General features: G+C 38.4%; 1 long non-coding RNA gene across 1 annotated transcript; it reads right to left on the bottom strand.

Moving 5' to 3' along the window:
* Nucleotides 1-1,377: 1,377 nt before the first annotated feature.
* On the bottom strand, nt 1,378-20,382 carry LOC105370159 (uncharacterized). Its single transcript, XR_941849.2, has 3 exons — nt 20,273-20,382; nt 13,438-13,700; nt 1,378-2,113 (listed from the first exon to the last, which is right to left on the bottom strand). It is a non-coding gene; the product is annotated as an uncharacterized LOC105370159 (long non-coding RNA).
* Between the last annotated feature and the right edge of the window lie 6,255 nt (nt 20,383-26,637).

A 26,637-nucleotide genomic window follows, 5' to 3' on the forward strand; every position in this document is an offset into this window, starting at 1 on the left:
TACAAAAAAAAATAAAAATTAGCCAGGTGTGGTGGCATACACCTGTAGTCCCAGCTACTTGAGAGGCTAAGGCAGGAGGATCGCTTGAGCCCAGGAAGTTGAGGCTACAATGAGCTATGACCATGCCACTGTACTCCAGTCTAGGTGACAGAATAAGACCCTGTCTCAAAAAATAAAAAATAAATAAAAATAAAATGTTGTTGTCCATCTATTTTCTGTGGAGTGATCCCAGTTCAGGGAATCCAGTTGTGCCTGAGTGTGGGTCTCTGCATGGATTCAGAAACCAGAATCACAGGAGTATTCTAGTGGTGGAGTCAGATATATGACAAGACAGCTCCAAAAGGATGCACCTGAACTGTCTGTAAGTAATGCATTGAGCAGCATTCTTCATCTTGAGCAAATGGGCTTTGAGAATTGTTTTAATGTCATGCATCAAACTCTTCAAACAATTCCACATTTCTCTGATTCTCATTCTAATTTTCATCCAGAAATCAAACAGAAGAGTCTATTATATCAGATTTAACTTTTATAAGGTGGGAAAGAAAGCAAGATAAATTGAATGTAGACACTTTCAAGGCAATCTTTTGCCTCAAATGAATTTAATTTTTAAAATAATATCCAACAATGGTAACATTTGTGTTTTGAGATTGATTATGGTTCCTCAAAAGTGAGCTATAGATGAGAAAAGATGGAACCAGCCTGTGACGGTTAATACTGAGTATCAACTTGATTGGATTGAAGGATGCAAAGTATTGATCCTGGGTGTGTCTGTGAGGGTGTTGCCAAAGGAGATTAACATTTGAGTCAGTGGACCGGGAAAGGCAGACTCACCCTTAATCTGGGTGGGTCTAATCATCTAATCAGCTACCAGAGTGGCTAGAATATAAAGCAGGCAGAAAAACATGAAAAGACTCATCTGGCCTAGCCTCGCAGCCTACATCTTTCTCCCATGCTGGATGCTTCCTGCCCTCGAACATCAGACTCCAAGTTCTTTAGTTTTGGGACGCGGACTGGCTCTCCTTTCTCCTCAGCTTGCAGATGGCCTATTGTGGCACCCTGTGATAGTGTGAGTTAATACTTAATAAACTAAATTAATATATATAGTATTATTAATAATACTTAATAATACTATACATATATAATGGGGAGTTTATTAAGTATTAACATATATATACTATAACATATCCTATTATATATATAAGTTAATCCTATATTAACATATTTATATATATATATACCTTATTAGTTCTGTCCCTCTAGCGAACCCTGACTAACACACAGCCCTCGAGGTTGACAACATGCATTGCTTGTCTGGTCACCTAAGAGTTTTGTATTCCAAACTTAATTTTCACCTTGTCCCCCAGGGTTTTAGTTGCTTCTAGTGTTTTTAGCAGGTAGTGTCTCAGCTTAAGCACAGTATGATTCAGGCATGTGCCAGAAAGCCAGGAGTTAAAGCAGAGGCTGCAGGCATTACTTGAATGAAGGTTTAAAGGGACTCTAGCTGGAGATGAGAGGTGACACGATTAAAAAGGAGAAAAAAGAGGAGATGGGAGGGGCAGAAATATGGTTCAAGGATAAGAGGCCAGTCGCTGGATGGTAAGGAAGCAGCATTCATTTTTCTGATAGCTCACAGGCTCAGCTCCCCCAGGGACTCAACCAAAGGGGACCAGTGAAACCCAAGGGTCTAGATTTTTTTAACTATAATTTTAATGGGCATGGTGACGGCAAGATTATCCCCTATATTTGTGCCAGAGACTGCTACTTCTTCTGTGCTGGAAAATGATGCGTGTTCTATAAAACAAGAATAGCAAGAAAAAATATTTTTGCCATGCTTATTTGGCCCCAGGTAGTGTGCTAAGTGCCTTATGTATACTGTGGATATATGAGACATCAGCAGTCTCAACCTCAGGAATTCTCAGCCTCAGCCCAGGCATGGAGGGCAGCACTTACAGCTCTGGTATATTCAGGAATCCCCAGGAGCAAGACATCTTCAGGGAACATCTGTGCCATAGATGCTGATTTTGACATCAACAGTAGCCAGCCTCTAAGATAGCAGTGATCACCTCCTGGTTTTCGTTCCATAATGCAATCCCCTTCCATAAGTAAGGTTGACCTATGAAACCAGCAGAATATTGTGGAAATGTTAGTGTATGACTTCTCAGGCTAGGTCATAAAAGACATTGCAGAGATAATTTTTTTTCCTTCTCTCTCTTGGATCACTTGCTCTGTGACAAGTCAGCTGCCATGAACACTCAAACAGTCCTATGATAGGACATGTGGTAAGGAGCTGAGAGCTCCTGCCAAAAAGCCAGTGACAAATTGAGGTTTTCTGCCAACAACCTTGAAAGTGAGCCATCTTGGAAGCAGAGTTTCTAGCCCTAGTCAAGCCTTCATCCCAAGCCAAAAATTTAACATCAACCTCATGAGTGATTTTAAGTCAGAACCATTCAGTCTAGCTTTCTGAATTTCTTACCAAAAAAAAGTGAAATGATCAGTGTTTATTAATTTAAGTTTATAAGTTTTGGAGTACATTGTTATATAGCAATAGATAACTAATACAGACTTGGGTACTTTAGTACTTGGAATTGAGGTACTGGAAAAATAAATAACTCAAAATATGAATGTGGCTTTGGAAAAGGCAGTAAGCAGAAGATGGAAAGCCTTTAGGAAAAGTATTATGAAACACCAAACACATGTAAAAACACTGTTATTAGAAGCCATTTGTATTTGAGAAAGGTATGAATAGAGGCTTAAAGGAGATATAGGAAAAAGTTAGTGAAAAGCGGGGGAAAGGGGATGCTTGTTATCTAGCATCAGAAAGTTTAACAACACTATTTCCTGCAGTTATGCGAAAAGTAGAAAATGTACCACATGAGTGGCATGACCTAGCAAAGGAGATTCCAAGACGGAGTGTAGAAGGTGCTACTTGTGTGCTTCTTGCTGCATATTGCAAAATATAGACAAAGAGAAGCTAAAGGAAAGACTCGTCCTCTTCCCCTACCCCCAGCTTTTTAAGGTATAATTAACAAATAAAAATGGTGTACAATGTAATGTTTTGATATATGTATACAATGATTTAATCAAGCTAATTAATATATTCATCACCTCACATACTTATCATAGTTTCGTGGTGATAACATTTAAGGTCTACTCTCTTAGCAATTTTCAACTGTACAGTGCATTATTAACTAGAGTCACCACACTGTACAGTAGATATCCAGAACTTATTCATCCTGTCTAACTGAAACTTTGTTCTTAATGAAAGACTTTTAGACAAAAACGAAACAGGAATTTCTGATTCTGAAAATCCCCAACATCTCCAGATGACTAACAATTATAAAATTATGAAATTGCTTCCAGGCAAAGATACAATCCAAGGTACTCCCCAGAAAACATAGTCTTGTAATAAAGTTGAAGGTGTGGCTATAAATCCTTAAGACCTTTTCTAAATCTAACATGGTGCCACAGAAAACTGCTCAGTCAAACCATGAAGTTTCTCAGAAGCTCAAGGGTAAATTCCTTTAACAATCTCAGCAGAAACTCAAGTTAAAGAAGGACTTGTCTCAGAAAGATTTTCAGACAGGGCTTTTGTCTAATAAGGTGCCCACAAATATTTAAGACAATTATAGTGGCACAGACACCACTACTTTGAACAGAAAGGGAAAGAAACATTACAAAAGGAACCAAAAATAAGGACTTTGGATCCCCAAAATTCTACTGGTAGGAAGTAGGCTGTGAAAACGACACAGCTGCAAAAACAGCTGATAGTCCTTTCATGCAAATGCACGAATGACTCAGAGACAAGTACCAAGAGCCCAGTGGGCAGATCCAAGAACAGTGGGGAAGAAATAGGACTGCATCCCAATCAAGCAATATCCAAAACATGCCCATTTCGACTTCAGACCATTGACTCTCATATGCCTGCTGCTTTCTACATTTTTGAACAGGAGTGTCTTTTGTAGTTATCTTATGCCCATCCCACCACTGTCTGTTGCATTTTAGAGGAAGATAGCTTGTCTCTATTTCCCAGGGGTGTTCAGATCAAGATCAGCTGTACTCACAGAGCTCTATTTGAAAAACTATACCTAAGGACCCATGTCTATATCTGTGCCTGATTTATATGATGAAATCTGGACTTTGAGCTGAGGCTATAATAGGATGAGACTTTTGGGAGACTTGGGAGGAGTGCAAGTATATTTTGCACGTGGGATAGGTATGAATCACTGGAATCCAGGAGGTAGACTATAGTAGTCAGCTTCCAAAATGTTCCCCAATGTTTCCCAACTTAGAATTTCCATCCTTGTGTAGTCTTCTCCAGCATCCAACAGAGCTCACTTATGTAATCACTAAGATACTGCAGAAATGACAGTAGGACTTCCAAGCTAGGTCACAAAGACATTGCAGCTTCTAACTTTACACTGTCTCTTGGATCACTGTTCTAGAGAAAGCAGATTCTATATTGTAAGGATACTCAAGTAGCCCTATGGAGAGGATATGTGGAGAGGAATTGAATTAGTAGTGTGCTGATAAACATTTAACATTTGCCTCTTCTTTAAAAAAGTGTGTACACACACACACACTCATATGTGTGTCTGTGTGTGTTTACTGGTAATGTTACCATTATAAAAGATGTATGGGAAACAATTTTTTAAAATAATGAAATAAATTATAGTCTTTATTTTAAATAACCTATGGCTAATTGATTCTCACAGAATATTTTCATTGATTATGTTTGCTGAATTTCTGACATAAACGTTGGTTAATATTTTCAGTTACACAAATAAAAAGTGAAGTAACAAAGATGTATGTTGTAGCTTCATTCGTCAGTAGCATGAAAGATTTCTTTGCTGAACTGGATAGTAGCTACAAATACAGGAAGAATATTTCTTCAAGTTTTTGTGTCATTCACAAAGTAAGAGCTACTGATGTGACCTATTTTTAGTTTAATCTGCATTATTAATATTTCTCCATCACTTTCTAAAGTCTAAAAATCAATAAAAGAATAGATCAAGTTCTGATTTGTTGTATTTGCTGATATCCACAGTGTAAATACTCCCACTGTGGCTGATTTCAAGGCAGTGGTTTAAGGTCACTGAATGCAGAAATGGAATGAGATGTGCAATAGAACACAACTATGTAAAATCTCCCTCATGTGGATACAATGAAACTGCCTTCGCAAAAAGTATAACTGAGGAAATTATGACAGTGAAAGAGATCAGATCTAACTGACTCCATCTTGCTTCTAACCTTTACGCTGTACACATACATTCCCGGGCATAGGCTGAACTAACCTTGGGAAGGAATTTAGCTTATAGTTTGACTCTGAAACAAAATTGATAATAGTCTTTACCCAAAAAGACCCTTTTCTGACCTGGGGACCAGTCTGCCTTTGTAGGTCTAACAAATTAGCTCTACAAGATTAGAAATTAGGATTTAGGGGTCATGCAGCCTCTGGCTGCAAGTGTCTGAATGTCCCCAAATTGATCCTGGAGATAACATCTCTATTGTAAAACCTAAGATCAATGCTTGAGATATTTTGCAGACCCTGCACTGGATGAATCAGCTTTCACCACCCAGACTGGTAATCTGGATCAAGCAGTTCTGTGATCCCACCCAGGAACAGAGGACAGCAAGAAAACCTCACATCCACCCACTATGATTCCATCTCCAACCTGACCAATCAGCACTCCCCACTTCCCGAGCCCCTACTTGCCAAATTATCTTTAAAAACTCTGATCCCCTAATGCTCAGGGAGACTGATTTGAGTAATAATAAAACTCCAATCTCCCTCACAGCTGTCCTCTGCATTAATTATTCTTTATCCATTACAATTCCCCTGTCTTGGTAATCGGCTCTGTCTAGGCAGCAGGCAAGGTGAGCCCATTGGGCAGTTACAATACACATAAATAACCACAGAAGCACAAATAAAGGAAAAACACGTAAATTTATTAGGAAGTGATGAGTTTTGAGTACGTTAAAGTAAACTAAATATGGCCTGAGAAGGACTCTGTACTTCTATATTTGAGTCCTTGTAGACAAACTGCAACCTAACTTAATAGTTAGACAAGATTGAACACCTAACTTAGGAGTATGTGCCTGAAACAATAGCTGAGTCTTGGCCAATCCCAGCAGCAGTACTTCAATGGCTCTTACACCGCTGGCTGTTCAAACTCTGTTCAAACAAGGCAAACACTGAGCTGAAACCAATCCAGCTGTTTCTGTATATCACTTCCCATTTCTGTACCTCACTTTACTTTTTGGGTCTATAAATTTGTTCTGACCATGAGGCACCCCTGGAGTCTCTCTGAATCTGCTGTGATTCTGGGGACTGCCTGATTTGTGAATCATTTCATTGCTCAATTAAACTTCTTTAAATTTAATTCTGCTGAAGGTTTTAACAAGTATTTACTAGTTTTGCTTTTAATATAATTTACTTAAATTAACTTTTTGATAATGGATTTAATGATTTAATTTTTAATGGATAATGATTTAATTTTTGATAATGGATGTGTTTAACAATTGGCTTACAAAATTCCTGAAATTTAACACCCGGCTCTCAGAAGCAGGCATCAGCCAGCTCCAACACACTGTTGAACTGAAGCCTTCTGCCAACAGCCATGTGAGTGAACCATCTTGGAAGCAGACCCTCCAGCCCAGTCGAACCTCCAGATGACTGCATCCCCAGTCAACATACTAACTGCAACCTCATGAAAGGCTCTGAGCCAGAACTTCCCAGCTACACTGCCACCTCTGAATCCCTGACCCACAGGCTCCGTGAGATGGTTTATTGTTTAAACCACAAAATGTTCAGGCAATTTGCAACTCAACAAGAGATAATGTATCAGCAGCTGCTGGAGTCATGGGAGACATCACCACATGGAGGTAGAGAGGTACAGGAGGGAAATGAGAGGAGCCCTGGATAAGCAACAGCAAATTTCATGGGGTTCCCTTGACACCTCTGTAAGCACCCCTAGAAGTAGTTGGGAGAAATTCAAGAGAGAACTGGGTTCTTTTTTTGAGGGTTATTTTTAAACCAATGAAGTAACTGAGGCTCAGAGAGGCTAAATGACTTATCTAAAATACATAGCCGATAAACTAGTAATTAGTAAAATCTGGATTTAAACCCAATTCCAAGAAAGTGCTCTCCCAAGAAGTCTTTAACAAGATTTTTAACTTTAGAACACTTTATTGTTTATGAATAATTTGATGTTCACAATGATCTGATAAGTGAAAGGATTATTTCCACTTTACATTGTTAAAAATTGAGATTTGTACAACTAGTAACCAGAGCTGAAACTAGAAAACCTTTGAACTTGTAGTCTAATATTTAAAAAAAGACTGAAAGTATAAGTTAATTTGAGTATAAAATATGGTTGTATATAATTAAGTGTTAAACTTTGTAGTGTAGAATACAAAGCCTATAAAAATTCAGAACTTAACAGGCTTCTTATGTTTTTCATAGACTTTTTAAAATTTTTTTTATTATACTTTAAGTTCTAGGGTACACGTGCACAACGTGCACGTTTGTTACATATGTATACATGTGCCATGTTGGTATGCTGCACCCATTAACTCGTCATTTACATTAGGTATATCACCTAATGCTATCCATCCCCCCTCCCCCTACCCCATGACAGGCCCTGGTGTGTGATGTTCCCCACCCTGTGTCCAAGTGTTCTCATTGTTCCACCTATGAGTGAGAACATGCAGTGTTTGGTTTTCTGTCCTTGCGATAGTTTGCTCAGAACGATGGTTTAGAGTAGTTTTAGGTTCATGGCAAAATTGAGTGGTAGGTACAGAGACTTCCCATATATCCCCTGCCTGACACATGCATAATCCCTCCACTCCACCACCAACCACAGCCTCCCCCACCAGAACCTACATTAACACATCATTATCACCCAAATCAGCATTAAGTTTCATTCTTGGTGTTGTTCATTCTGTATATTTGGAAAAATGTATAATGTCATGTGTTTACCATTAGAGTATCATACAGAGTAGATTCACAGCACTAAAAATCCTCTGTGCTCTGCCTATTTATCCCTCCCTCCTCCTTATTAATTACTAGTCTTTCTAATTTGTAGGTAAGGGCAAAGAAGCATCTAAAAATACAAAGCACCTGCTGTCGGTAAATGTAGATAGTTTTTAAAGATTTATTAACATTCTTACTTGTTCAAAATCAGACTTCTTTTGGGCCTTACCCAATTTGACCCAGGACCTTGGGCCCATATTAATTTGCATGAATGCCTCATACAATATTGGTATATTTCCAAGCTCTTCAAATTAATTCATTTTAATAGCTTTTCATAAGCACTTCAAATGAAGAGTCACACGGCTTTGTTTTCCAGATGTCCTTTCATGTATCTGAATAAGCCTATCAGACTTTTATGATTATAACAATTCAGGATAGGAAAGACCAGCCACCAAATTTAACTTGGCCACTCTTAACAAATTCCATATTGCTTTTTAAGCTTTTATTATTTATATATTTGGCACAATAAGTGCAGCAGTAGGAACGCTTTTAAAATGACCTAAAATTTGAAAGACTGAATTAAAAAAAGAATGCACTCTGGCACTAACCATGAGAAACCTAAACCAAATGATCCACCCTGAGAGGTACATTGTAAACGTAATGATTAGAGAAACAGGATGTGTCCAGAATCCAGTCAGGAATAACAGAATGTCGCTGAAATCCAATCAAACACACTAGAGACTCAGGAAAGCCTAAAAATGATGGCAGTCAAAGAAAACTACAAAGTGATCAACTGTATTACCATTTGTAGGAGGAAAATGTGTCAACAGACCTAGGGTGGGCTGCAGAAGAGTTTGGAAAAGGGAAGGCAAAGATGCAGGGAAACAGATGAGTATTCTAGGCAGTTTCTAACATCAAATACCTAAAGACAGAATCCGGTTAATTCTCAGATAGGATGGTCCCCTTTGCCCAGGTTAGTGAACCTCAAACGTTTTGGTCTCATGACCTGTTTACATCTTTAAAAATTATTATTATTATTTTTTTAAGAGCTCGGCTTTTTTTTTAAGAGCTGGGATTTTTTTTATGTGAGTTATATAAAACTCGGTGTTGTTTTATCTATTGATACAGCAGATCCCCCTTACCCAGTTTCACTTTCCACCGTTTCATTTACCCAAGGTCAACCATGATCCCAAAATACTGAATGGAAAATTCCATAAATAAACAATTCAAATGTTTGACATTGTCCACTACTCTGAGTAGCATGATGAAATATCGCACTGTCTCATTCCATCCTGCCTGGGATATGAATCATTCCTTTGTCCAGCATATCCACATCATCTATGCTACCCACCCTTGCAGCACTCAGTAGCTGCCTGGGTTATCAGATCTACTGTCATGATATTGCAAAACTCATGTTTGTCACCTTTATTGTACTTAATAATGGCTTCAACATGCAAGAGTAGTGATGCTGGCATATTGTTATAATTGTTCTATTTTATTATTAGTTATTATTGTTAATCTCTTATTGTGTCTGATTTATAAATTAAACTGTATTAAAGCAAATAACCTCTTAATATTATCATAAAAGTACTTTGGAGTTCACAGAACCCCAAAAGGTTCTTAAGGACTCCCAGTAGTCCTTAGAGTACATCTTCAGGACCACTTTTCTGGAAAATCACCAGTTCAACAACTCTTAAAAAACTTCCAACGGGAGATGAGAAATTTACCTCTCCCAATAGTCTAGCCACCCGCCATCTTTGGGACTAGCATTCTGACTTATACCAGGCTGGAAGAAGTTAGGTGGGGGAAGGGGTTTCCCTCTGAGTTTCCTCAGCTCTAGTAAAACTTTGCCTAGGATTCTCAAAGCTGATGCACCTCCCCGCTATAAAGCTCAAGTTCAATCTCACTCTCAAGCGTCACTGATCAGGACTCTGAGAAATAAACCACTGAACATGTTAGAATAATGGAGTGTATACACTAACTAAGCACCTACATACTTCAAGTTCTAAGTTCTGTTAGGCACTTTTTAATGATATGCCATTAATTCCCATTACAACCCTGTGAGATAGATTTTATAATCCTTCTTTGAGAGATGGACAAACTGAAAGGTTAAGGCATTACACAAAATCGTACTGGTATGTGGTAAAGCTGGAATTTGAACCTTTTCATGGTAATAGTTACTATAATAACAAATAGTGACTGACTGCAAGTATGCCAAGATATTGCTCTAAATTTTACGTATGTCATCTCACAACAATTCTATAAGGTAGATACTATTATTAATTTCCCATATATATTTGAGAACTGTGACACAAATAGTTTAAGTAACATACACAAGATCATCCAACACATAATTGGTGGAGCTTGACTTACATTGAACCCAGACAGTCTGATTCCAGAATCCATGCTCTTAACCCCTAACTTCCACCCTTCTCCCAGGCATGGTCATTCTCAAGCCTATACCCTTACCCTCTTATGGACTGCCTCTTTGGAAGTCCTCAAAAAGGGACCTCACAGAGATGCACCATCTCCTGGCTACCAGGTATGTACTGAGGCCAATCAGATACAGTAAGATCATCTTCATAACACAAATATGTATTAATATTGTAGCAGCAAATATTTAAGAATAAATGCACTAAATATCTACATGTTTTGAGGAACAAACAATAGAAAAACTAATTAATTTTACAAAAGAACATTTAAAACATAGATAATTAAAGGACGAGGGAATCTCAGAATCATAGAATTATAAAGGATCCTAGCTAAGAAATCACTAAGTAGAAAAGGCATGTAGACATGAACAGAGAGAGTATTTGAACCTATGTAGAGCCTCAGTCTATCTCCACATCACTCAACATCAATAATTCAAGGACTCTGGCCTGCTAGGAATAATTCAAAGATACTCTTATACTACAAGTGCCAGAAATAGAGTTGAGGCCATTGGCCAATTTTTAAATATCCATTTGTTTCCTTGTGTAGCCTAACTCTGACCATCTATAATGCTGCTTAACTTCTTATTTTTTTAAAAAAAGCACATCAGTGTTAAGACCATATTAAGAATTGCTTTTCCGGCAGGGCACGGTGGCTCCTGCCTCTAATCCCAGCACTTTGGGAGGCCAAGGTGGGCAGATCACGAGATCAGGAGATCGAGACCACGGTGAAACCCCGTCTCTATTAAAAATACAAAAAATTAGCTGGGCACGGTGGTGGGCACCTGTAGTCCCAGCTACTCGGGAGGCTGAGGCAGGAGAATGGGGTGAACCTGGGAGGCAGAGCTTGCAGTGAGCAGAGATCGCGCCACTGCACTCCAGCCTGGGCAACAGAGCGAGACTCCGTCTCAAAAAAAAAAAAAAAAAAAAAAAAGAATTGCTTTTCCAGCAATGAATTTTATGGATGCAGAATTTTTTTGGAGTATGACTAAAATTATTATTTTTTTGTTTAGTCATCACCTTGCCTTCAGAGACTAAAATTATTTTTAACAAATACGTTTAATACATTACACTTTGTTTTTATCTATATGTTTTTTTTATTTATCCCACTGCCAATTTTAATGATTATTTAGAGCTTTGAACTCTTGCTGAATAGAAAACTCCATTTCCATTGATAATGGCTCCACTTAGGTTCTTTCACAGCCATTTGGATATAAAGATGAATGTAAAAACAATTCCTTTGACATTCTTTGATAATTTCAAAAAGGGCAGAAATTTAGAATCTGAGAGCTTTTCAGCTGGAAAAAAGAAGTACGAGTTAGAACTGGGTAAACCCTTCCTGGCTTTCTATGACTTTCATTTAAATACTCCTCTTCCAACCAAACTCACTCTATCCTAACCAGATAGACTTGAATTCAGAGTTGGTAAGGGGAATTTAAGCTCAACTGTACTGATTGTAGCAATATTCACATGTAATCATACAAACAAAACCCTTTCTCCCCTTCTCCCTCTCCTTCCCTCCCTCCAACCCACCTCCCTTCCTTGATCTTCAGGATAGTACAGGTCTGCTGTTTTAATAGTCCCTTTGCTTATTGGTTACAAAAATGTTCTATTCCTCTATAGAGAGAGAAGCTAGGAGTGGAATGCTGTCTTGGGTCCAATTAAGCTTAACTGATTCAACAGTTTTCTTTTCTGAACCATATTATGAATAATCATTCAAAAATGATTCTGAGCAACTTATAAATTTAAAAGCTGTGCATGATAATCCAGGCCACATTCTTTGATTGGTTCTGTTGTTGCTGAAACAGATATGGTCATATTAGGAGTGGGGAATATTTTTTAAGGATTTTAACTAAAGAAAAACTTAAATGAAGTTTAAAAAACTGATCCAATCAACATACTGTGTGTGTGTGTCTGTGTGTGTGTGTGTGCGTGTGTGTGTGTGTGCTCACAAGAGCCTTGGGCTGTATGCAGCATATAAAATATTTAACAGCACGAACAATAAAATTTAATACACAGACCCTATAGGAAATGTATATTTCAAAATTTTAAATCGAGTTTGGTTGTGTAATTAATTATCCAAACAGCAACAGCTGATAGACCCAGAATAGAAACAGGTTCAAAAGAACTAGGATAAATATGTAAGAGTTTATAAATAACATCCATCTGTTATTAGTTATATCTCATAGATGCAGCAAATCAACACGTGTTCCTCATATTGGTTACTGTTTGTCCCAAAATATCTCTCTTGCCAAAGCACCTTGGAGCAAAGTGATTGATGATAAAGAGGCAGAGAGAGTACTCTTCAATTTTTAGTTTGTAACATTTCTATATGATGGTATATTCCCCTTCTCCTTTTGTAACAGCCTTGTTATGTTATCTTTATCTGACACCATAGTGCCTGTGACAAATAAACAAGAAGTGATGGATAAAATGGGTCACGCTCAGGCATTTTTTAATGTGTGGTGTGGTGCTGCTGAGGATAGCTGGGTGTTGGAACCTGGAGCAGTAGAACTCCACAGAGCAGGTGCACGGCAGGTGCACGAGGGCGGTGCCTGCAAAGAACTAGAGGGCACCACAGCTGAAGAGGCCACCAGAGGACTTCCAGAAAGTGTGTGGAATAAAAAGATTTGAAAAAAATTACATTAGTGGATTATATTGTAAATTCAGGGCCTTGCCATCAGCCCCTGCCAAGTTTTAGCTCCATGTTAAAAGTATTTTCTTCAACTGATTCCACTCATATTGAAACAGGATTAGTATTATCAATTTTCTTTTACCCACCTCACAGAACATTGTTCAGAATGGTTAGTATCGGTGAAAAAGTTCAAGGAGGTAGATAAAAATAGCTATCCATCTGTCTACCTTTCTCTTCAATCCAATGGATATGTACAGACATCCTGAAGAATCAACTGGAAGCTAGACATCCTTCTTCAAGGATTGTAGTCTAGCTGGAGAGATAAGGTACTGTATTCAATATCTAATGCTACCTAAAAAATTATTCAAATTTAGAGGCTTAAAATAACCAACTTTCATTACCTTATGGTTCCTATAGGCCAGGAATTGAGGAGCAGCTTAACTGGGTTAATCTGGCTCAAGATGTCTGAGAAGGCTGCAGTGCGGCTATTGGCTGGAGCGGCAGTCTCATTCAAAGGCTCCACCTGCTTCCAATCTCAGTCACAAAGTTGTTGTCAGGCTTCAGTTCCTCCCTGGCTGACTGGGAGACCTCAGCTCCTTACCTATCAATAGTTTGTCTAAGTGGTCTCCTGACATGGCAGTTGACTTTCCTCTGGGAGAGTGATCTAAGAGAAAGTGAGTGGGGGAGGGAGAAAGAGAGAGAGAGTGAGCCAGCACACCCAAGATAGAAGCTACAGGTTTTTTTTTTTTTTTTTTTTTTTTTTTTTTGAGACAAAGTCTCACTCAAGCCACAGTCTTTTTGTAACCTAATATCAGAAGGGACATACCATTACTTCTGCCACATACTGTTGGCCACACAGACCAACCCTGATAAAATATGGAAGGGACTACAAAGTGTGTGAAAATCAGGAGGTGGAGATTATTGGGGGTCACCTTGGAAAGTGGCTACCACACCTATTTCTGAAAAAAAAATGAAAAAAAATCAAATGTGCAAGTTCAATGAATGCTAAATCTAAATTAGTATTCAGAAAATACAAGAACATCCCAGGGGGGCTGGGCTACTGAGGAAAGGGGATGTGGCTGACAGGGTTTCCAACAGGTCTTGAGGGACGGTTAGAATTTAAACAGGCAGGTAGACACTGGGAAAACATTCCAGCTGAGGAAAGTAGCAGGACGGGCTGAGGGGTAGACAATTGTCCACAAGACATACTGGAGAAGCTAGAAAAGCCAGCTAAGTTTTATTCTGACAGGCTTCCACTTTTGGGGCCCAGCAAATTTTTCAAGAAAAGATAATACTGAGTTTTCCTGCCTAGACTTCAGAATTGTAACTCTTTGATACTAGAATCTATGATTCACTGAACCTCATGAAAAATCCCATTACAGACAGAAGTGCAGAAGGCACCCCAAGATAATGAGAATCAACCCCTAGAACACCTGTAAACCTAAACTGGAAACACTATACTATTTAAAGCATTAAATCTCCCAGTGTTTTTTATGCAGTGCAGCAGTATGCTACCAGATACTGAAACAGGCCATTATTTTTGAAATCAAAAGAATCTTACCCCAAACTGGGATTAATCAAACATTAATGAATTTCGATGAGCTGTTTTCATGGTCTCTATTATCTAATGATTAATATCCTATCAATGAAATATTTCTCATCTCATTTAGCCTCCTAATTTATTTAGATAGGAAATAAACAAAGGAAAATGATATATCTGTGTTGGAACTTTTTCTTCTTCGAGATCAGTGTTTAATAGTGAGAAGAGCACTCCGTCTTTCCATTGATCCCTGTCTAATAGCATATGTGGGTCACCTCTGTAATTGGCACCTAGATGCAACAGAGGAAATGAAGCAACCCCCTCTGCAATCCCATAGCATGGACTTTGGTGACTGAGGGGAAGTAATTTGTTCCAACTCCAGAGTTTTCATCATATTTTAAACAGGTTAGTTCTGTCCTTTGTTGTATTTTTTTGTGGAGGGTAAAACATACATAATACAAAATTTGCCATTTAAACCATTTTTCATACACTTGAGTGGCATTAAATACTTTCACATTATTGTGCAACCATCACCATCATCTAACATCAGAACTTATCTTTCCACACTGAAACTGCAACTATTAAACAATAACTCCCGTTCCTCCTTCCCCCAAGCCACTGGTCTACTTTCTGTCCCCATGAATTTGATTTTCTACTTTCTGTCCCCATGAATTTGACTTTCTACTTTCTGTCCCCATGAATTTGACTTTCTACTTTCTGTCCCCATGAATTTGACTATTCCAGGCACTTCACAGAAGAGGAATCATACAATATTTGTCCTTTTGTATCTGGCTTATTCACATAGCATAATTTCTTTTAGGTTCATCCATTGCCCCTCACTGTCTTAAATATATTTTGTCCATGAAGAAAGTCATGTTCCTTCTTAAGCATGTGGAATTTGTTTCTATCTTTATGTGAGGTTATATGTGATTTTACCTCCCTTCAATGCTTAACAAGCAAGGATGTCACAGGAGGGATAACGCTATACACTCTTACCCCGGAAATAGGAACAGAGAAAGAGAGCTGGTGAGTTGGCACTGTCTCTGAGGATGTGAGCAGGAACTTACTAATGGGATCCAGAAGCAGTTATCAGGAGCTCAAGGTGAGAGGGCACATGGTTGGGTCTCCTGACCCCTCTGGCTTACACTCTCTTTATATGCTCCTGAATGGCAAAGGAAGTCTAGATCCATTTTCTCCTGGTTTTAATAATAGCCTTGGCCGGGTATAGTGGCTCTTGCCTGTAATCCCAGCACTTTGGGAGGCCGAGGTGGGCAGACTGCTTGAGCTTAGGAGTTCGAGACTAGCCTGGGCAACACAGCAAAACCCTATCTTTACAAAAAATACAAAAATTAGCTGGCCATGGTAGGGCATGCCTACTCACCTACAGCACCCAGCTACTTGGGAAGCTGAGGTGGGAGGATTGCTTGAGCCTGGGAGGTGGAGGTTGCAGTGAGCCAAGATCATGCCACTGCACTCCAGCCTGTGTGACAGAGCCAGGCTGTGTCTCAAAGTGTATAAGGCTCATATATATAGCCTTATGCATTTTTTCTCATTGATTACAATGGAATGAAGGATTTTAAGTGTTTAACCTACACTATGCTTCACTGCTTGTGAAGAGATATGGGTATTCTTGGCATTAATTGGGACCAGAAGTTGTTTTAAATGTAAATGTGTCCTAGGTAGCAGTTTTATTGAATCACTGCATGATCTCAGTGTGATATATATCACATCAGATGATAGATAGATAGATAGGCAAGCACATACATTACACCACTGAGGTCATGAAATAATTCATAGCTAGATCTGCATGTATAAGTGTGTGCACACATGTGTATAGTGACATAAGCAAAGATAATATGGCTTCCAGGTGACTATGAAGGACAGTGAGGAGAGTAAATGTCTAGGTAAATATTTGGTGAGCTATGCTGGGAAAACTAATACGGTACTGTCCCCTCACTTTGACACCAAAAAAGCCACCAGAGGGGTATGATCTTCATGACAGATGTCACCTCACAGTCCACTGCTATAAGGCATATCAGAATTTAGAAGGAAAGAAAAGGAGCTTTTAAGAACTCTTTGAGGAGATAAACAGGATTTCATTTAATGCTCTTCAAAAGATCCAAGAAAAAGATGAAAACTTCTTTTAAAATTATTTTGGTTATTGGACTATAGTTTACATGCAATTCCATGCAGAAATAAAAGCACATCCAACCCTGTCTTTAATTAGGGTTACAAGTTTCACTCACTGTTTTCCTTCTCCATCGTCATTAGAAGGATCACTATTTGGCTTTAACTGAGCTCATTCTCAGCTGACCATTGTTTTGTTATTCTCAGTAACTGATGCGGCTGCTACAACAGACAAACTCAAAATCTTAGTGACAACATAAATAGTTCTCACATAAGTCAAGTCTTATGCAGATTTCCAGGCTCTACATTTAGTCAGTTAGATATCTCTAGGTTCCCTTCATCTTCTGGCACTTCCATCTCAAGTCATGTCTTCCAAAGTTGCCACAACAGGGGAAGAGAGAAATGGAGGAGGCACACACCTCTTAACTGCCTCGGCCAGGAAGTGATTCACATCTCTTCTGCTCACAGTTGATTGCCCCAAACCAAGGGCAAAGGAGGCCGGGAAGTGCAGGGAAGTACATGGAAATTCAGTGAGCACCAAGTGTCTCTACCATAACCATGATATTGTTCTCGGGATGATAAAAAATGAAGACAGAATGTACTTTCCATTTGGTACTATGTTCCATACAAATAATGCCCATGTGTTGGAATTCACTGAAGATAATAGCAAACCAATGGAAATCACAAAATACTCTACAGATCTCCAGTGCTTATATGCAATTCCAAATTTCAAAATGCTCTGGAAAACAAAAGTTTCCAGCTTTTCCAATAACTAGTTCAATGGAAACAACATGGCCTGAATTGAAGTAGGCTATTTACCAGCATACCTGGACCTCAGGTTTTCATTTAAGAGGGAGTGAATCTGAATAAAATAGACATAAATTAGGAGTAAGCATAGAAACTAAACTGGAACAACATTTTGGATATATTCGATTTGTCTCTAAGCTTTTAGTCATTTGTCCTGCAAATGCATTAGTCGACATTTACTATTTCCTATGTGACAGGCACTGTTTTAAGTACTTTGCATTAATTAGCTCATTTAATGTTCTCAACAACGCTTTGGTGTAGGTGATATTATTATCTCTACTTAGCAGACATGGAAATAAAGTCCCGATAAGTCTAAAAATGGTCACCCAGTTAAAAACAGGAGAAGTTAGGGATAAAATCCAGGCAAATTTACTCCAGAAGCCCTTTTTTTAAACTACTATGCTATTCTGTTCCCACATCGAATTTAAAATCACATTAAGAAACTCTCTTACCTTTCATGTGTCCATCAACATTTGATGAGCTAAACCTGAGTTGAGCTATGTTAAGCTTTGAATCGTGTGTGCATATATGTTTATTTGTGAGAATTTGCAGTAGACTTTCAATGAATAGCTGGCTTTATCTTAAGTCTATGAACAAAAAATTTTGGTTGGCATCACTGTCATGGTTCTTCCATTTCATAAAACTTTCTGAGCAAGAATTCAACTGAGCTAGAGGCTAGTCCATGATGCAAAGGAAATTCTCATCAGTAGTTGAAAAAGATAGGCTTTGGCTTGTTTTAGGAAACTACATGGAAAAGTTCTGTCAACAAGACATTTTTATGTAGTAAATGAATTAACTGCATTAAATCAAGGTTTAAACATGATACAGTCCTCCCCCACTTTCAGCTTTTTTTTTTAATTTATTTATTTTGAGACAGAGTCTCTCTCTGTCACTCAGGCTGGAGTGCAGTGGTGAGATCTCGGCTCACTGCAACCTCTGCCTCCGGGTTCAAGCTATTCTCCCGCCACATCCTCCAGAGTAGCAGGGATTACAGGCATGTGCCACCACGCCCAGATAATTTTGGTATTTTTAGTAGAGACGGGGTTTTGCCATCTTAGCCAGGCTTGTCTTGAATTACTGACCTCTGGTGATCCACCCTCCTCGGCCTCCCAAAGTGCTGGGATTATAGGTATGAGCCACCACACCCGGCCCACTTTCAGCTTTATTAAAGTAAACTTCTTAGACAAAAATTATATATAGTTAGGGTGTAAAATATGATGTTTTGATATATGTATACATTGTGAATGATCAAATTAAGCTAATTAATATATCTAGCACCTCACATACTTAACATTTTTAAAGATTAATTAAACATACTATAAACTACTACTTTCTGACATCTTTAATGTCTCTTTTGTTGTAGGATGTTGACAGTAGAAAGAATGTTACTACTTCCTGTTTCCTGGGAATAGTCAATACTGACTTAAAAATGTGTGACTATACTAGAATAATTATACTAAATATACTTCTGAAAAGTTGTTTTTCTTAAAGTTTGCTATTTTGAACTAAAAAATAACTATTTCATAGAAATATTTTCTCTAAAATAGGAACACTTTTACACTGTTGGTGGGACTGTAAACTAGTTCAACCATTGTGGAAGTCAGTGTGGCGATTCCTCAGGGATCTAGAACTAGAAATACCATTTGACCCAGCCATCCCATTACTGGGTATATACCCAAAGGACTATAAATCATGCTGCTATAAAGACACATGCACATGTATGTTTACTGCGGCACTATTCACAATAGCAAAGACTTGGAACCAACCCAAATGTCCAACAACGATAGACTGGATTAAGAAAATGTGGCACATATACACCATGGAATACTATGCAGCCATAAAAAATGATGAGTTCATGTCCTTTGTAGGGACATGGATGAAATTGGAAATCATCATTCTCGGTAAACTATCGCAAGGACAAAAAACCAAACACCGCATGTTCTCACTCATAGATGGGAATTGAACAATGAGAACACATGGACACAGGAAGGGAAACATCACACACTGGGTACTGTTGTGGGGTTGGGGGAGGGGGCAGGGATAGCATTAGGAGATATACCTAATGCTAAATGACAAGTTAGTGGGTGCAGCACACCAGCATGGCACATGTATACATATGTAACTAACCTGCACATTGTGCACATGTACCCTAAAACTTAAAGTATAATAATAATAATAATAATAATAATAAAAAGGAAGTAGGAAAAAAAAAGAAATATTTTCTCTATAATCTTAAAAAATCTTCTCCCAAATGTAGTAGTATAGTCTTTTTGAAACTCTAAATTATATTACACATTTTTCTAAATTATGATTTTGTACTTATCAATGTTTTGCAAGAATATGAGTATTTAATAAAAATTGTTGCTAAGTTATCTAATTAAAATTAATAAAATAAAGAGACTCTGCCTAACCTCTTAGTCATTCCCATTCCCTCACCTGAACAATCTTGAAAGAGTAGGGGAGTGGTTGGTTGGTTGACTGTTAGTTCTCTCTCACTCTACCAGCCCTACTAGCCTGAGTTAATTTCCTGCACTGTCAGGAGCACCTTGATGCTAAGAAGTAGATTGCCTGAAGATAGTCACATTCAATTCTCAATAACAGTGAAATAAGTATTTATCTTATTTAAAAACAAAGGCTAATTTGAATAGAAGTCAAGTATGACCTTCCAGATTATATAAGCTATAGCATTCAGTTTTTGCTTTGTAACAAATGAATTGAAAGTCTCTGTGCTTATAATAACTAACAATTAATTTCATGCTCACGTGTGTAGGTTGACTGGGCTTCTGCTGATCTAGGCTAGGCATAGCCGAGAAAAGCTGGACTCCAAGTTTCTAGTCAGCTGTAGGCTGCTCTTTTTTGGGGTCCAGGTTGAAAAGTGTAGCCACACCTGGGGTATTCTTCTCTCATGAGGAATCAAAAAAGCCCAAGAAGAAAAGCTAAAACATGGAAATAAATTTAAAGCCTCTGCTCATGTTACGTCCCCTAGCATGCTATCAGGCCAGGCAAATTATATGGCCACGTCCAATTTTCGTGGGGATAAGAAATATGTCCTGCCCACTCTGGAAGAGGAACTAGATCACAAGGTAAAAAAGCATGGATGTACAATCCCATAAGGGAAAGGAGGTGAAGAATTAGGAACAATAATTTACCACGTCTACTGATTCAAAATTTAATGTTTTTCTTTCTTCTTTCTTTCTTTTTTTTCTTTTTTTTTAGACAGAGTCTCGCTCTGCCGCCCAGGCTGAAGTGCAGTGGCACGATCTCGGCTCACGGCTCACTGCAAGCTCCGCCTCCCAGGTTCACGCCATTCTCCTGCCCCAGCCTCCCAAGTAGCTGGGACTACAGGCGCCCGCCACCACGCCCAGCTAATTTTTTTGTATTTTTAGTAGAGACGGGGTTTCACCGTGTTAGCCTGGAAGGTCTCGGTCTCCTGACCTCGTGATCCGTCCGCCTCGGCCTCCCAAAGTGTTGGGATTACAGCGCCTGGCCAATGTTTTTCTTTAAAGAGGAAGATTCCTGTCAGAAATGAAGCCTTCATATTTAAGAGCCTTCATTTTTCTCATTCAGTTACTCTGTGCTGCTACTGTGCCAATATGGGCACGAGGTGCATACCAGATGCATCAACCTCCTCCTCAGCTCTCTTCTCTCTGCTAGACAGTGTCCTTTGGGTGAACGGTTCCACTTTTGTGACTTTGACCATCTGAAAGACTGATGGAGCCTCCATCTCTGTATCCCCTTCTCCTCCTGCTGCCCCTCCCCTGGCTTTCCCTCATGCTCTAGAAACACCAACAGTCTTCCTCATGGCTTTATACCACAGCATCTTGTTTCTCAGCCTCTCCCTTCCATGGACTGTGAGCAGAGACAGTGTGTTTATTCATCTGTTTCTCCAACACCCACCACATGCATTGTCAGACTTTCACTAAAAGCATAAATAGGAAGAGCATGATGATAAATTAGTTAATGCATATAATGTACATTATTTTCAGGTGCTGGATGCCCTAAAAGCCCTGACTTGACCACTACACAACCTATGCATACAACAAAATTGCACATGTGCCCCATAAATTTATATAAATAAATAACTTTTTAAAGACATAAATAATGAAGGAATATTGAGACTTCTTATTGGTCCAGAGGAAGTGTTTTCTTTTAAAGCACATCTATTTTAAAAAAATATTTTTAAAGATAGCGTCTTGCTCTATTGCCCAGGCTGGAGTGCAGTGGCATGATCTCCTGGGCTAAAATGATCCTCCTGCATCAGCCTCTCAAGTAGCTGGGACTACAGACACATGCCACCAGTTCCAGCTAATTTTTTTTTTTTCTAAATTTTTAGTAGAGATGGGATCTCCCTACATTACCCAGGGTAGTCTTAAACTCCTGGCCTCAAGTGATCCTCCCACCTCAGCCTCCCAAAGTGCTGGAATTACAGGCATGAGCCACCACACCCGACCCCCATATCGATATTTTAATAATGCTGAGAATATATTGTAATTTAGGTTGCCATTGATGCTCACTATTGTTTTACTGTATAAATTCTTTACTTTCTACATTACTATTAACCCACACAGATCTTTCCCCTTACCTCAACTTCAATTGCCCTTAAAATTTATATCACAGCATTTAACACTTATGGTTGTTTAGTTATTTCATGTATTTTAGTTTTTTTCTCCTCAACTAGATTATGATCTTCAAGACAAAGTTGTACATGCTGGAATGTACATCTTACATATGGCACATAATCGTGCATACAAAATATAGGAAAAAATGATAATGATTAATACATAGTTCTTACAATGTTCCAGGCACTATTCTAAGGCAATCCACCTGTTGATTCATTTAATCCTCAAAACAAGTACAATTGTTGTCATTCTTCTAAGGAAGAAATGGAAGGCACAGCTGAGGAATCCACTTACTACATGGAGAGACTGAAATTCAACCCAGGCAGCTTGGCCCCAGAATCTGGGCTTCTAATCACTCTCCACACTAGAAACTCAATAAACATGGCTAATTGGTTGAAACTTACCCTTAGGACAGTTTTCTACTGACATTTACCCTCACATAATTTTTAATCCTTTTTACCATTTACCTAAAACTCTCAAAAAGATGTGAAAGTTTGCTGATGATATCCAGCAAAAATATCCAATTATTTCTTATATTGGTTTCAGCCCTGTGCTTGGAGTAAACTGAAACAAAGTTTATCACAATAAGTGTGGGAGAAAGAGAAGAACATGGCAAATAAAACTGTATCATTCATTTTACAAATTTACTAAACTGCATGTCAGAATCTTTTTAAATCAATCTGTTAGCTCTAATGATATGCTGTTTGGTTGATATCTTCTTGTATAAATTTATTTATGGCTGGAAATTTAGATTCTGCTTGTTGATCCTACAAAAAAACTATGACATAACTAAGTAATTTTGAAAATTCCATGTAAGCACAGAAAAAGTGTTGATATTATATAAAAAGTGTTTTTGTTTTTGCTGTTTTAGGTCATTTGGCTGCTCTAACTTAACATTCAGGGCAGACTGGAGATAAGGCTTCCTTCAAGAAAACATCCCTGACTCCCTATGGCACCCTTGCATTTCCACCATCATAACACTGGCCTCATAATATTCGCTTAATGAACACCTCCTGAGCACCAGTTATACATCCATCACTACTGAAAGTGTGAGGATAGAGCAGTGAACAAAATGGACAATATTATTAGGATTGTTAAATGTTCATTTGTGATTTCCATAATACTTCAATTCCAGGACAGCAGAAACATAATCTTTCCTATTGGCATCTGTCTTTGTGTGGCTGTAACAAAATACCTAAGACTGGGTAATTTATAAAGAATGGAAAATTATTTCTCACAGTTCTAGGAGGCCGGGAAGTTCACAGTCCAATAACTGGCTGATGTGGTGTCTGATGAGGGCCCTTTCTTTGCTTCCAACACGGCGCCTGTTGCTGCATCCTCCAGAGGAGACAAATGCTGTGTCCTCACAAGGAGGCAGGGCAGAAGCTAAAAGGGGCCTAGCTAATTCCCTTCAGCCCTTTTAAAGGGTCATTAATCCCATTCATGAGGGCTCTGCCTTCATGATTTAATCACCTCTTAAACGCCTCACCTTTTAATAATATCACTTTGGGTCTTAGGTTCCAACATATGAATTTGGAGGGGTGGGGGTCACGAACATTCAAATCATAGCATCATCTCAATCTCCAATGCCCAGGATTGGGTGTGACACATAATAGACTCTTAATAAGTATATTTTCAATGAATGTTGTTGAATTATAAAAGCATATTACTTTAGTATATAACAGCATATAACAAAAAACTTCTATCTGCAAGAAAATAATTTTCTTTAGAATTTACTTAAATTTAAATTCTTATATTGTCATAAATAAACCAGTGACCACTGAAAACACCTAAGTAATCTCTTATAAGAAAAATTCAAATACTTTTTGGTGTCATGTGAATTTGAATACTGCATCAAAGCGAATATTTATCTATCATTATAATATTTAGAGAAAATGTACTTTATAGCTTTCATTTTTTCCCTTTCTGAGAAATAAACCTTGCAGCAGCCAGCATACAGTTACAAAAGGATACCAAAAAATAAAAAAATCCAACCTTCCTTTGCATTCAAATTGCATGCAATTGCATGAAAATACTTTTCTGCACCCAAGTCCACATGACACCAAAAGCAGATATCAACATGGCTAATATGTAAATATGTTTGGGGAGATGGGCAGCTCATTCATCAGGTAAATTTTAGGTTGTTCCTCCCAGGGATGAAGATGAAGGCTCCCAAGAAGTCACTCAACCAGAGCCCTGTCAATGGTAACAGCCAAACAGCACCCCTTTCTGGTAACCAGCATTCTACTTAATGCTCACCAGTTAAGATCTTTCCTCTGGGAGTCTATTTCCAAAGGCCCCATGTGACAAAGATGGCCCAGAAACCATGTTGCATGCATGTCAGCCGAGCACACACAAAATCTTGCCAACGTTTTTCTCAGTTTTCACTTTAGCTCTCACTTTCTATTTTTCCCTATTTCTCTCCTACTATCTTGGTTTGATGGGCTCCATGTGAGCTACTCATGGAAATTCTTGAAACTAGAAAGAAAACTGATTACTAAGATTTATAAGGTTGAAATGATTTATTCATCCCTGAAGGAAAGAGACAATTCATCACATTTCAAAAGACTGGACAATCAAGCTCTGACTATATTTATATGACATCATAAAGCTGTTTTCTTGAAGAATGACTAAGCCGCCTGCTTAAAAATGAGACGACTTATTCTGGGCAGACATTTTGAACACGAGTATTTTAGAAGCCAGTGTATTTTTTTGGCCACTGAAGACCTTTTCAGTGGAAAAGAAAACTCAAGAGTGTAATAATTTTGACTGAATGTTGCATATCTTTTAATAAATTTATGTGGAAAAATGTTTATTAAACATCTAGTATAGGTTAAGTGTTGAGCTAGATGCATCATGTTCCCTGCCAACTAGGGGCTCACAGAGGTTCACAGTTGGGTAGGGAAAGAAATAAGTAAATAAATAATTATAACAAAGTGTTAATTGCTCAAAATAAAGTCAACCCCTACCTAAAACAAGAAGTTCAAAAATCTTTCTACATGAGACCAAAATCATGTAAGTCATGTCCATTTCTGATTGTTAGCACTAAAGGATTTTCGATATTTTATGGAAGAAGGGGGATATTGCAGGAAACCCCAATATGAACAAAATACCTGTTTTCAGCATATAGAATAATGCAAGAGGGTAAGGACATGCATACAACATGAGACTTCTGGTTGACCTTCTCTCTTAGGCTCTTTTCAAAATTCACCAGTTATGTATACTATTCCATCTCAGCCAACTCTAATGTTGGAAAATAATCTGATAAGTGAATCCCCCCTAAGATATTAATGGTTTGTTGTATAATGCATCATTTTACTGAGGGATTTGTGCACTAATAGGCCACTCTTAAAAATGAAAGCCTTAATTCGCTATTACGAATCACTGGTTTTAGAGTACTAAGCATTATGTGACGTTTATCTCTAACTCTGAATGTTCTACCCTGGTTTGTTCACGTTAAAATATGAAAGCCTTCATCAACTCCATTCATCTTGGACAAGATGAAACCCTGGCCCAAGCCACATGCATTTAGAAACAATTCACATAGTAGATTTTAATTTTTAATCTAATTTTTTGTGATACAGAATTCATAGTAACAAAAACAAAATAATCACTTTATGTGAAACTAATAACATTAGAAATTGTGGTGATCATGGGGAAATAACTGTAGTTTTTTTTTAATGCCCTGGACCCTAATTATGTTTTCTGGTTTTCCTTTTCATAAGAAAACTCCAGATCACGATAAGACAAATTTAAAAAAAAACTTTAATATATTCACACACCTTAACTAAGTGTAACCCTTGCAGGTAGTGATGTTCCAAACTTTCACAGCAAAATCCCAGTCTAACAGCAAGCAGATTGTCTGTAATTCATACAACTCCTGCTAAGAAAAAAATTAATAAATCCAAGAAGAAATTAATGGGGCAAAAACCATCTTTTGATTTATAGAACAGAATTTTTCACATAACCCTGAAACTAGAAAGTGTACCAGCAGGGGTTTTGCAGATCACCCAAGACCAGGGATTACCTGGAAACCCTCGCCTAGTAACAAGCAGAGAGAAACTTTGCACTTGCCAAAGCCTGGCCAGCTAGGATTCTGGGACCTGAGCCCAAGGGTGAGTTAGGTAGGTGAGAGTTCTTAAAACAGGAATGGGAAGAAACCAAAGACAACTTCCTAGCAAAATCAGCATTGAAAAATTGTCTCCACCAAGCATCAGACCAAGGCTTGGACAGAGAGGTGAAAAGCATACCTAAGATGTTGCGGTGGCCCCCAGAATATAAAGACCAGAGCAGGGAAGGTGTGTTGGAGAAAAAAACGGAAACTCCCTGACTTGCCTCTTAAAAGTGCACTCATAGCCTCATTGGGTGGGGCAGAGAAAGCAAAGACAGACCAGATTTAAACAGAGGAAATCGGCCAGGCGTGGTGGCTCATGCCTGTAATCCCAGCACTTTGGGAGGCCGAGGCGGGCAGATCATTTGAGGTCAGGAATTCAAGAGCAGCCTGGCCA

Source organism: Homo sapiens, chromosome 13 (genome assembly GCF_000001405.40).
Source record: "Homo sapiens chromosome 13, GRCh38.p14 Primary Assembly".
Classification (NCBI taxonomy): domain Eukaryota; kingdom Metazoa; phylum Chordata; class Mammalia; order Primates; family Hominidae; genus Homo; species Homo sapiens.